Source organism: Homo sapiens, chromosome 3 (genome assembly GCF_000001405.40).
Source record: "Homo sapiens chromosome 3, GRCh38.p14 Primary Assembly".
NCBI classification, from domain to species: domain Eukaryota; kingdom Metazoa; phylum Chordata; class Mammalia; order Primates; family Hominidae; genus Homo; species Homo sapiens.
In genome coordinates, this window is record NC_000003.12 from 179,395,502 (window position 1) to 179,409,680 (window position 14,179).

The window sequence follows — 14,179 nt, forward strand, 5'->3', positions numbered from 1 at the left end:
ACATCTTTTTATCTTAATTTCCACCCTCATCCTCCCCCAAGGGTGTGGTGGTGAAAGAAAGTAGTAAAGATAAGATAATTAATTAATCAACACCATAGGCAGCATCGCTTATTTAAAAATTACAGAGGCCAGGCTTGTTGGCTCAAGCCTGCAATCCCAGCAGTTTGGGAGATCAGGGTGGGATGGTCCCTTAAAGCCAGGAGTTCGAGACATGCCTGGGCAACAAAGCAAGACCCCTGTCTCAATAAAAACTTTTTATAAAAAATTGGCTGGGCATGGTAGTTCACGCCTATAATCCCAGCACTTTAGGAGGCTGGGGCAGGCAGATCTCTTGAGCCCAGGAGTTCAAGACCAGCCTGGGCAACATAGACCCTGTCTCTACAAAAAATATAAAAATTAACTGGGCATAGTGGCATGCACGTACCCATAGTCCCATCTACTCCAGAGGCTGAAGTGGGATGATCACTTGAGCACGGGAGGCTGAGGTTGCAGTAAACCATGACGACACCACTGTACTCCAGCCTGGGCAAGAGAGTAACACTCTCAAAAAAAAAAAAAAATTGTGGCATAAAAAAATACAATGAAATCTGGTTAAAAGCACTTTATTGATTACAGTATCAATTCACAACATTTCATAAAGCCACTGTACAAATAGAGGAATGAATCACTGTGTAAGAAAGATCTAAGAACAGTTAAATCATGATACAAGTCCATAGTTTATATGGTTTAGAGCTTTAAGAGCCTTAATCTAACACGTTTACCCTTCCCATAATTAGACTACTACTGACATTCATGTTCAGTTGACCACGAGTGTGTACAAATCATTCTAGGTAAAGACAAACACTTTCAGAATGCTTTAACAGAAAAATAATTTTAATCAACTTTAAAAACACACTTAGATGTGGATGCCTTTGGATAGGAAAATAGAAATGCAAGTGTTCAGATGCTTCTTTGAAAAGAAAACAATAGGATAGAGCACCATTGTGTAAAAGACAAAAGGCTTGAGATATCTACCAAGTATATCACTGAAGTTCTATTAATTAAGAAATAAATACTGTATGATGTAAGATTTTGTTGAATACATTTAACACCAGTTGGAATATAGCTTTTTCCCCCCCGTAATGCTGCTTTATCACAACTGTATTTTACAAAATCAGCAACTGGATTTAAGAAAGAAGACATAGGAGATTTTATCAACATGCAAACATTTGCTAAATACAAGGTGTACCATCAATGTGTGATTAATTAATAAGTTACTTTTTAAAATAAAGTGCTAGCTTAGATATTCTACTATAAACCATTTCATTGAGTACCTATTATGTAACCAATATTTTAAAATATACACTGAATCTGAGGCAACCCAAAATGAACAATGGAAAGAAAACTAGTAAATCTGAAATGTACTTCACATTCTACTTAATCTAATTTAAAATATAAATTCATTGTGCAACCCATAAGAAAGATGGTCCAACCTGTGGGTATTTTTAAAAATTCTAACAGGAGAAATCATTTAAAATTTTGCTTTTTCACAATGGCAAAAAGGAAAGAATTTGAACATAATATTTAATTTTTAAAAAAATTCAGCCTGACTCCGACCCTGAAGATTTCAGAAAGAACATCGTCACTATTAAAATGATGACAGGCCCAAATGGGGGATTGTTTAACCAGTTTTCCTAAGTTAAACCAAGAATAAGCCACAAGTATTCAATTGTGTTACAACTTAGATCTGAGACATTTACATCAAAGCATACTTCCCTGAACATGTTCACATTTAAAATGCTTAAGGTCTTATTATTAAATCCAAAATACCAAAAGTATTAGAGGAGCTAGTTATACAATATTGGCACAGCATTTTTAAGCAATAATAAAAGTTTCATTTTGTCACCTTAAGTCAAGATCCATTTATCTATTAATAGGTTAAGTCTGAAATTCTGTAACATATTCTAGAAGCACCTACATCCATTATTTCCAGGAGACTAGTTTACTACTATCATGCAATCGCTGAGGTCATATGAGTCTAAAATGAAGGGAATTGCTGAACAGGCCCTTTTGCTGTTGAGATATGAAGCCCAAATCTTTGCCTCTGAAGACGGAATTCAATGTGGTGTGTGTAATCACAAGTAAAAACTTGAGCTAGGGAGGAACCTTGGATATTCAGTCTACATCTCAAACAGCATAGCTGCCAAAAATGAGGCCTGTCCATTAAAGTGGAGGAGATATCCTTGCTGATGGCAAAAACTGCTTTTTCTTTTTGGGACGGAATCTTGCTCTGTCGCTCGGGTTGGAGTGCAGTGGCGCCATCTCAGCTCACCAAAACCTCCACCTCCTGAGTTCAAGTAATTCTCTGCCTCAGCCTCACGAGTAGCTGACAGGCGCCCACCTCCACGCCCGGCTAATTTTTGTATTTTTAGTAGAGATGGGGTTTCACCATCTTGGCCAGGCTGGTCTTGAACTCCTGACCTCGTGATCCACCTGCCTCGGCCTCCCAAAGTGCTGGGATTACAGGTGTGAGCCACCATGCCTGGCCAAGAACTGCTTGCTGAAGCAGGTTTTTGGGACGATATGCTCAACACCACAGGGTGATAACATACTTAGAAAAGAATATGTATCTCTAAAATATTCTTGCCAGATCTCAAAAAACTACTCTTCTTGACATGCTACAGAGTCAACAAATTAACCTTCTCAGGCACATTATGTTTAAATGTTTCTTAGAAGGTAAAGAAGGAAACCTGGCTGGGCACGGTGGCTCACGTCTGTAATCCCAGCACTTTGGGAGGCTGAGGCTGGTGGATCACTTGAGGCCAGGAGTACGAGATCAGACTGGCCAAGATGGTGAAACCCCATCTCTACTAAAAATACAAAAATTAGCCGGGCATGGTGGCACATGCCTATAGTCCCAGCTACTTGGGAGGCTGAGGCACAAGAATTGCTTGAACCCAGGAGGCAGAGGTTGAGGTTGCAATGAGCCAAAATCACACCACTGTACACTCCAGCCTGGGTGACAGAGTGAGACTCTGTCTTTAAAAAAAAAAAAAAAGGAACATTAACTGCAATATTCTTGATGATGCAAATTTTTAAAAACTAAATCCAGCCAGATTTTTCAGCCTTAAAAACTAAGATCCAAACTATTCAACATCTCTACAAATTATATACTCATTGAATTCAGGAACAATAACAGAATTCAACAATCAGCTCAACTTAAACTGTAAGTAAACAAATATATTTAGCAACTGGAGCCCCTATTATTAGAAAGCAAAGGTGTAACCATGAAGTAATTGTGGTAGTGAGGCTACTCTGTCGCCATTTGTTTATGTGTATAATTAACCACAAGTGTTAAATAGTTTTTAGTTGCCGAGTAAATATTTAATTATGGGAATTGCTTTAAACTCCTCTTCATAAACTTTAAGAACATTAAAATAAATGTAATTTTAAAATATGTTAAGACCATAGAATTCCTGTGGTCTGTATGCCTGTGACTACTATAATAACTTTTAAGTAGAGGAGATACTCTCTTACATATTTAAGGTTATTTTTATGCATAATAGAATTGCTTTCTTCTGACTAACCTACATGGCAAACTTTCCCCAACCCTCTTTTTCTGGAAATGAATACATTCCTTTATTCTTTTCTCAAAGAACTGTTCTTTATGAAGTGATATAAATAGCCTACAAATAAACATTAATAGCAAAAGTTCATATAATTTTTTTTTTTTCCAATTTGAGATGGAGTCTCACTCTGTCGCCTAGGCTGGAGTGCAGTGGCACAATCTCGGCTCACTGCAACCTCTGCCTCCCGGGTTCAGGCGAATCTCCTGCCTCAGCCTCCCGAGTAGCTGGGATTACAGGAATGTGCCACCACGCCCGGCTAATGTTTGTATTTTTAGAAGAGATGGGGTTTCACCATGTTGGGTAGGCTGGTCGCGAACTCCTGACCTCAAGTGATCTGCCCACCTTGGCCTCCCAAATTGCTGGGATTATAGGTGTAAGCCACTCTGCCCAGCCAAAAAGTTAATAGAAATCTTAATCAAAATATAAATATACATTCATAACTGCCATCTACAATATTCTGTTTTGGTCCTATATCTTAATTTGCCTTTATCCACTTTATTATTCTAATTGTCAACTGATTTTAATAAAACTGATACATCTTTACAGTTGATGCACATATTAGCACATTCACAACATAAAAACAAAAATTTAGAGGTAAAGTTTGGGAGTATTTAGGTTAAGTTACACATGTTCAAAAGTTAACACAGACCTATCTGAAAAGTAACTAAGTTACAAAACAATGCACGTCTATATATCAGAATAATCCAAGACTTTACCATCAAGCAAGACTAACAATCTTCTATTATCAGTCATTTAGACTTATTTGTAAAAGAGAATCCAACAGGAAAAGTATCTTTAACTTGGTCGTGGGGGACTTCTAGTAAGAGACACATTATTATACCACAGAAAAACTGTTTAATATAGCTCTCTAACTCCTTTAAGAACTGCTTTAGGAATTTTTATTTTGGCTTTAAGTGGAATCACTTACATCTAGACATCCTTTGAAGCAAAACCACTTAGAAACCAGTATTTTGTGCTAAGGAAGGGAAGAAATACTACAAAATGTTGCAAAACAGAACAAAAAGCTTAAAGGTTTAAGAAATTTAAAGGCACAGATATTTCACATCAATTCAGATTTTATAGTATGCAAACATGAAATAAACCACCGTATTACAACAAATATGTGCTAGCGATTGGTTAGATTTCACACTTCTCTCCAAATGTAACACTGTCACATTGCATTTCCTCTCTAGATGTATACTGATAGCACTGGGAAAGATGTTCAGATGCAGGGACAATCCCAATGTTTACCAAACTTCTGAAAGATGAGTATACGCTACAAACTTAGTTCCAAATATGAAATGAAAAGGAAAGTCCAGCTATTTAGGGGGGTACTCAAAGTGTCAACTGATCATAACCAGGCTTTTAAAATGTCAAGAACCATTTATATGCTATTACCTACTTTTTATTAATTATAATGATGTTTCTTATGTATGTCCAAAATATCAGTGAAATCTCTAATCTCTGGCCTTCAGATTATCTGTCCCCTCAAAGGACTGAAAGCAAGCACTTTGATTAATAGTATATGGCAAATGATGCATGAGAAACAATGAACTCCCCTCAGAGGTGCCCCACCTGTCAATGCTCTTAAACATGAAGCTATCAGGATCTCTTAGATTCAAAGAGATATCAGAATTCAAGGGGACTTTCTTCAGACATAAATACACACACATACAGTATCATTTCTGTCTGTTTCTGTGCCTGGTTCTTCCATTACAAAACTCAAAAATATGACATTTCTTGTGTATACAAAGTTAAAAATGTACTTCTTAAAAAATGCAAACACAATGGCGAGCTGCTATAATGTGTACATTCTGTTCTACACAAAGAAAATACACTCTGAGTACACACAACAATTCACCAAGGTTAAAATAACCCAACCCCTCAAATTAATACACTGGTCCTTTTGATCTCAGAAGGCGCCTTTGCCTTTTTTCCTCCACCCCCACTTTTTTTTTGGTAGTTTACTGAAAGCTTGTTTTTGTAGATAATCTAATAGAAAAATCTTCACCTGCAAATATAAGGTAGAATTTTTTCACAGCTATAGGCTGTAGCATTGATTTCTCCAGATATATCAATGGAGAACAAATATGTATGACACTGTTAATTCCAGATTCTAAGAAAACTGTCCCAAGAGCCTGTTGCCACAGCCATGCCATCATCAGTTACACCTAAGCAGCTCACACGGTTGTCATGACCAGCAAGGACACCTGAAAAAAAAATTCAGTAAAAAATTGGCAATTGTAGGGTTTTAGAATTAAACAAGTATATGCAGAGATTTAAAAGGGTGCTTATAAACTATCAGTCCAGTTTTCTTGAAAGTTCATCAGTTAAAAAATAATAATAATTTAAAAGAAAACAACAAATTTCTCTGAGTAAGAAGACAAGTTAGGAGTAAGCTGGATGTATTTATAAATTTGGATTATTTGAATTTTGACATGCATCAATTTGTGGTTTTAATTTTTGAAAAATCATCTTATAATTCAACTTATATCTAGGAAAACATATGCAGACAATTATTCCACATCTCTAATAAGTTCTCGATATTCCAAATTTTGCTACTGAGCTATGTATGCTATTCTCAACAAAAACAAGATTTTCAATGAAGTTCACTGAAGGAGCCCTTCACCACAGGAACGACAAAAACGTAAGAACAAAGCTGCCTCACATCACTGCTTCCAAGAATACCAACATAATTCATTTACTTTCTTATGCTAATCACCAAACTCTGGAATGTTATTGGTTATAACTTTCTGAAACCATGAAACTCATCTAGTTTTCATTTCTTTCACACATTAAACTCATTTGATGTATTTCCAGTATTTTGGAAGAAAACAAGAAATACAGTAAGATTAATAAGAAAAATTAGAATACATCAAATGCTCAAAATTTTTAAATACAGTGTTTGAATTTGCATTCTCTCTCTCTATTCTTAAGCATATCATTTTCGATCAATCAGGAACAGAAGTTCATCTTGTAACTCTTAATATTCTCTATAGTATCTCCAGTATGGCCATGTTTGGCAATGGGAAAATTTACCATTATGAGTTGAAATAACAAAAAAAATGAACATTGTGGCTAAATACTTTAAGTCACACTGGAGAGGGAAATGAATTAGCAATTCACAAGTCAGGATCCAATTTTAAGTTCAAAGTTCCAGTTGAGCCAACCTGAAACCAGCTTGTAGGCAAAGCAAAACTAAACCTCAAGCATATAAGTGTGGACAACAAGCACATTTTTATTTTGTTATGGATACTAATTGTTTCAATCCAGGCAAAACACCAAATATCTTTAAAAGGTAATTGGCCTTAAGCAACGGAATACTTCCAGGAATCTACTTGCAAAGTGTAAAACTGCAAACCATGCAGTCTCTTGAAAGAGGTTGTAGAAAATTATTCCTGGAAAAAACTTACACTGCCTCTGCTCCCTCAGGAACCCCAACAACTGCATAGCGGGGGTTAAAAGGGTAAGGACATAAATCCACAAGGACAGTGAGATGAGAGCAGGCAATGGCAACGAACTTTCGTAAGCTGGATGGTGGCAACTGTGTTAATGAACCCCAAAATACTGAGTTCAAAATGAATAGTAAGCCAAGTAACAAAATTACACTGCAGATTCTCCAAAAGTGTCCCTACTAGGTAGAACCAGGTATCTCTGGAACAGGTAGGGGCAAAGGCAGAGTAAAATAAGATTGTGCTGGAAAGTGTTCATCAATCAGTAAGAGCCCCCAGGTGTCCCCTTCCTCCACTCTGCAGTCAGGTGACAGATCATCCTGCGCTGTGGCGTAAGGCCAGAGACTCACTCAGAGGAAAGGGTAAAACAGGGTCTCCTGACTGGAAGAAAACAGGCACAGATGCGATTGATAAAACTGTGCTGAAATGGGGAATAAAGTTTACTAGCTAAATGTTGTGGTCCCTCAGGTTTTCTCTTGAAATCAGCCCTCAAACTGGCAGCCAGTTTATACACTTCATGGAGGAAAGTGGAAGATGGAAAAAGGAAGAAAGGCAGAAAGGCAGACACAGCAAAGCTTCCTCAGTGAACGGCCAGCCTAGAGTAAATGGAGGCCGAGTCAGCACACCAGCCACGTGCCCAGAGCTTCAAATGGTTTTAGTGCCTCGCTCTTAAGTATGAATAAGAATTAACACTTTTAAGGAAATATTCTAAAAATAAAGACAGGAAACCCCAAAAATGAAGAAAAAAAAAACTTGGAAACACAAAAGATGATGCTTGAAGAAGAAACTTAAAAAAAAAATTCTTTCACTAATAATAGCTCTTAAGTTAAAAAGATGGTAGCGAAAATGAAAACCAAAACTTAACAGAAGGGTGGAAACCTGAGGTGAGGTTTCCTCCCAGAAGATAAAGCAAAAAAGATGGAAAATAAAAAATATAATTAAAAAGTCAGGCCGGGCGCAGTGGCTCACGCCTGTAATCCCAGCACTTTGGGAGGCTGAGGTGGGCAGATCACCTGAGGTCAGGAGTTCGAGACCAGCCTGACCAACATGGTGAAACTCCACCTCTACTGAAAATACAAAAATTAGCTGGGCGTGGTGGTGTGCACTTGTAATCCCAGCTAGTCTACTCGGGAGGCTGAGGCAGGAGAATCGCTGGAACCTGGGAGGCAGAGGCTGCAGTGAGCCAAGATCATGCCACTGCACTCCAGCCTGGGCAACAGAGCAAGACTCCGTCTCAAAAAAATAAAATAAAATAAAATAAAGTTAAGTAAAATAAAAATTCTTAAAAAACAAAAAAAGTCAAAAGGATCAGTCCAGGAAGCCCATTTTCAACATAATGGGAGATCTAGAAAAAGGGAATGATGATAATAGAGAAGAAATAAAATTCAACAAGCCCCCACCCCCAAATGTCCCTGTTCTATAGGGTAATGAGTTTCCGGATCAAAAAGGCTCACTAAATACCCAGCACAATGAACGAAAATGGATCCGCTCCGAGACACATCAAAACTGGCATAAAGTGTGAAGATTCATTAGTGAGAAGCACATAGAAACTAAGAATATAAACCAAAAAATTAACTCTAGAAAATACAAAAAAGCTGCATGGCAAAAGAAGTCATAACACATCTCATGGCTCAGCAGCAAATGACTTTTTAAAAAGTCGGAATTATGTAAACAGTGAATGTGGTTCTAAACAAAATCTATCATATGGGAAAAACTGGTTGGGAAGAACATGGCTACGGCAGGAGCAGCTTAAAACCCAACCCTTCTCATCCATGATAATAGGTCAACAACAGATAACACCTGAATTTTTATTTTTTTAAACAAGTAACAGCAATACAGGCATGTTATTTAGAGATATGTAAGTAAGCCAGGTGAGGTGATTCAAGCCTGTAATCCCAGCTACTCCAGAGGCTGAGGCGGGAAGAAACCAACCTTAGCAACATAAAGAGACCCTGTCCCAACAAAACAAAACAAAGGGGGCGGGGAGAGAGGAGGGGTAGGTAAATTACTAAATGTAGTTACTTTGGGGAGCAGAAACTATGGGTTGGGGATGAAGCAACTGCTGTGTTTTGGTAACAAGCTATATAGGACAACTGGATTCCTTTAAGTATAATTTTGATTTTTAAAAATAGCTAAAAATTACTCTGTATGACTTGTTATTAATGACAGTCCCCAGTATGGCTTAATGTGTATTGTCATCTTGTAGAAGCTGCAGAGGAGGACTCAGGGTATGGGGCTAAGGGAAGCGACAGGTCTATGTCCTGTCCCATACAAGATCTGCTTCAGAAGGAAGAAAACCAGCAGTTACAATGTTTCCTGTCAGGTGATAAGAAAAGTGTGATTTCTAAAAGACCACACTGAATCACATTCACTATCCATCTTTAATTCTGAAGTCTACCAAATAAGAAAATATTACAGACCTCAGTGTGATTCTTCAGAAAGCAAAAGTGTAAATATGGCTTATGGATTATAACCACAAACAAAAGGTAACAACAAAGAACATGATGAGAACCATCGGGTTACCACTTTCCACAACTCCAAGATGTCCATGGAGGCCTAGAACACAACTGATGGGAACCTCTTCACGCTTCCTGAAAATCAGAACCTAATGTGGACTTATTTACTAACCTGCACGATCTCCTTTTAGCGTGTCCCATACATTACAATTAAAGTCATCGTAACCAGCCAACAAGAGACGCCCACTTTTTGAGAAGGCTACAGAAGTGATTCCACAGATGATATTGTCATGAGAATACAATAATAACTCTTGATCTGCACGAAGGTCAAAGAGCCGGCAAGTGGCATCATCAGAGCCAGTGGCGAAGGCATATCCATTTGGGAAAAACTAGACAGGAAAGTAACAAACATTTATTCTACAGATGTATGCACAATCATAGGAGGCAATGTAATAATAGACAAATCTAGATTAATATTCCAACTTGGCTACCTACCAGGTGAGCGATGTTGGGCACTAAAGATTCTTAAATATTTTGAGCCTCAGATTCCATTTCAAAGTGGTGATTAAGACTGAATTAAATAACATATGCAAAGTACACAGCCCATTGTTCAGAACACAGCAAGTATTCAACAAATACTGGCTCTGGTTCTCCATATGTCATGTTGAAACATTTAAAGCAAGTACTAATATTTATAGAATATATATGTGTGTGTGTGTGGCTGTTGTAGAACGAATGGCAAGGAGATAAAAGGTCCACAATCCTTATAGGGTTATAAGGACCCCTCGGGACAGTTCTTTTTCAGAATTCAGAATTTTTCAGATTTTAGAAAGGTAATATACTGTGTATTTGGTAAAACCCAAATATGGTGCAATTTACAATATACTCTCAAGTCAACATTATTAAATAACACTATTCAAATCCTCAGCATCTTATTTCGTGCCTTCTTAAGATATCAGTATTTCCAAGTTGTCTACTAAAGTCTCCTACACAATGGTGTTTTGGGTCCTTGAATTTTTAATGGCTTTTGTTTTATGAATTTCAATGTTATAGCATCACTACTGTCCCTTTCATTAAGATAAAACTTCTCTCATCTTATAGTTTTTGCTCCAATTCTACTTCGGTTAATAGTAATATAGTAATATTACTACAGATTTCCTTCCAGTTTATGACTTACCCACTCTCTTACTGTTACATTTAGCCTTCCTGGGTCATTTTGTTTTAGGTGTGTTTCTTGCATACAACATTATAGTTCAGTTTATTCTGTATCTTTTAATAGCAGTAATCATTTACGTGTAATGCCTTAAGTGATTATTCTTGGTCTTAATCTCTTATCCTGTATTATATGTAGTGTATTTCCTCCCCACATCATGACTATGATCTCTGATACTTAAAATTATTGGGTCACAGTATTTCTCCCTTAACACTTGGCAGATACTGTTCAGGAGCCTTTCAGCAGTGTCTATTGTGAAAAAGTGTGAGGTTAGCTTGGTTTTTAATCTTTTATATCTAGGTAATCTGCGTTTTCATCTTGAATTTTCTCCCATCTTTTGATACTCTTAAATTCAACAGGATGTGTTGGTTTCTTTTAATTACTTTTTTTTGTTATTTTTGAGACAGAGTCTTGCTCTGTCACCCAGGCTGGAGTGCAGTGGTACAATCTCAGCTCACTACAACTTCTGCCTCCTGGGTTCAAGTGCTTCTCCTGCCTCAGTCTCCTCAGTAGCTGGGATTACAGGCATGCACCACAACGCCTGGCTAATTTTTTTGCATTTTTAGTAGAGACGGGGTTTCATTATGTTGGCCAGGGTGGTCTCAAACTCCTGGCCTCAAGTGATCTGCCTGCCTCAGCCTCCCAAAGTACTGAGATTACGGGCATAAGCCACAGCGCCTGGCCCCTCTTTTAATTACTTTTTAAAAAGTACTTCATAAGACCCTTGGACCTTCTACTCAATGTTTTTCTTCAACTAAGATATTTTTTAAAAATTTACTTCTTGGCTATCCTTCTGCTTCCAGCCAAAATGGAGCAACAGTGATTGGATTTGCTCCATGCCTTAAAAAACTAAAAACAACTGGACAAAAATATATAAAACATGGTTCTAAAAACATTGGATATCAGTCAACGAAGGAGCGTGCCTCTGAGAAACAATAAATAAAACAGGCCAGGCACGGTGGCTCACACCTGTAATCGAGCACTTTGGGAGACTGAGGTGGGCAGATCACCTGAGGTCAGGAGTTCAAGACCAGCCTGCCCAACATAGTGAAACCCCGTCTCTACCAAAAATACAAAAATTAGCACAGCGTGTTGGCGGGTGCCTGTAGTCCCAGCTACCTGGGAGGCTGAGGCAGGAGAATCACTTGAACCCAGAAGGCTGAGGTTGCAGTGAGCCGAGATCATGCCACTGCACTCCAGCCTGGGTGACAGAATGAGACTGTCTCAAAATAAGTAAGTAAATAAATAAATAAGATCATTCCTACAGCTGCTCCATCTTACTACCTTACTACCATCTTACTATGAAAGTTTATAAAGGTCATGGTGAAGGGAAGAGAAACGCAGCTGGAGCCCACTGGCCTCCCTGAGTTGAGGAGAAAGCACTGGGAATCCAAGAAGTCCACAGCAGCTAGAGTTCACAGAGAGTGTCAGAGAGGACAATGCTTGGCAAAGAGAAAACTCCAGAGGCATGCTGAGGACATCCTTTAGGTAGTCAACTGAGTACCGATCAGCAGAGCCGTGTGAGAAAACTAATCAAGCTGCAAAAGACACCCAAAAAGATTACAGGAAACAAACCCTGGTGTGTACATAGGACAAAAATAATGCCTATCCCCTCCAGACAGAGGGAAAACCTCATAATAACCTCATTATACACCGGAAAAACCTCGTAATTTCTTGAGAAGAGGGGTTTTAAGTCTTTTGCCTCACCAGTGGGGCAAAATTAAGCACACACGGTGTGACTCTGGTCCCATCTAACAAAACTTACATGCAAACCCTATAATGATCAAATAGTTTCCAAGTAACTTAACTTGGCCAGTCTGATTTTAGCTATGCCCCAGAGCAAATCTAAATAATATTTTTATGAATATAAAATTATCTAGCATCCAACAAGGTAAAATTCACAATGTCTGGTATCTAATAAAAATTCACCAGACATGCAAAAAAGCAAGAAAATATGACCTATAATTAGGAGAAAAATTAATCAGTTGAAAAAAACAGAAAAAGTCACAGAAGATAAAATTAACAGACAAGGACAACAACGTCTGGGATGAAAAGTGCACTGGATGGGTTCACGGCCGATTAGATACAACAGAAAAGACATATGAAGGCAAAGCAATAGGACCCATCCAAAGTAAAATACAGAAAGAAAAATATCCTGAACAATAAGATGAACAGAACATGAGTGAGCTCTGGGAAAACTTCAAGTGGTTTAATGTCTATGTAACTTAAAGTCTCCAAAGGAAGGAAGAGAGGAGACAGAAAAAAAAATCTGATTAGGGGCTCGGTGCGGTGGCTCACGCCTTTAATCCCAGCATTTTGGGAGGCCGAGGCAGACAGATCACCTGAGGTCAGGAGTTCAAGACCAGCCTGGCCAATGTAATAAAACCCCGCCTCTACTAAAAATACAAACAATTAGCCGGGCATGGTAGTGTGCACCTGTAGTCCCAGCTACTCAGGAGGCTGAGGCAAGAGAATTGCTTGAACCCGGGAGGTGGAGGTTGCAGTGAGCCGAGATCATGCAACTGCACTCCAGCCTGGGTGACAGAGCGAGAGTCAGTATCAAAAAAAAGAAAAAGAAAGAAACTCAAAAAAAAAAAGAAACTCATAGATCCAAACACAAGAAACATGAAGAAGGGCCAGGCATGGTGGCTCACTCCTGAAATCCGAGCACTCTGGGAGGCTAAGACAAAAGATCACTTCAGCCCAGGAGTTCGAGACCAGCCTGGGCAACATGGCAAGACCCTATCTCTGCAAAAAATACACACACGCACACAAAATAGCCAGGCATGGTGGCACGCACCTGTATACCCAGCTACTTGGGCCCAGGGAAGTCGAGGCTGCAGTGAGCCATGACTGCACCACTGCACTCCAGCCTGGGTGACAGTGAAACCCAGTAAAAAAAAAAAAAAAAAATTATGGCTTTAAGTTCCAGTATTAGAAATTTTAAAAAGTTCCAAATCAATGACATCAGCTTCTATCTTAAAAAAACTAGAAAAAAGGCTGTGCACAGTGGCTCATGCCTGTAATCCCAGCACTTTGGGAGGCCGAGGTGGGTGGATCACCTGAGGTCGGGAGTTCGAGACCAGCCTGACCACATGGAGAAACCTCGTCTCCACTAAAAATACAAAAAAATCAGCCGGGTGTGTTGGCTCATGCCTGTAATCCCAGGTACTCGGGAGGCTGAGGCAGGAGAATCACTTGAACCTGGGAGGCAGAGATTGTGGTGAGCCAACATCACGCCATTGCACTCCAGCCTGGGCAACAAGGGAGAAACTCCATCTCAAAAACAAAAAAAAAAAGGCCAGGGGCTGTGACTCACGCCTGTAATCCCAGCACTTTGGGAGGCCGAGGCAGGCAGATCACGAGGTCAAGAGATCGAGACCATCCTGGCCAACATGGTGAAACCCCTTCTCTACTAAAAATTCAAAAATTAGCTGGGCGTGGTGGTGT

The 14,179-nt window shown here is 38.9% G+C and overlaps 1 protein-coding gene across 5 annotated transcripts in view; it reads right to left on the minus strand.

The window, feature by feature from the left end:
• Nucleotides 587-14,179, minus strand: part of GNB4 (G protein subunit beta 4) — a 131,711-nt gene continuing 118,118 nt past the window's right edge. For all 5 annotated transcript variants that reach the window (XM_047448654.1, XM_047448653.1, NM_021629.4 and 2 more), the window contains 2 exons: nt 9,689-9,905; nt 587-5,818 (listed from right to left, as the gene is read on the minus strand). In XM_047448654.1, the coding sequence (XP_047304610.1) occupies nt 5,712-5,818; nt 9,689-9,905 (324 nt within the window). In that variant the 3' untranslated portion in view covers nt 587-5,711. The remainder of the gene's footprint in view (nt 5,819-9,688; nt 9,906-14,179) is intronic.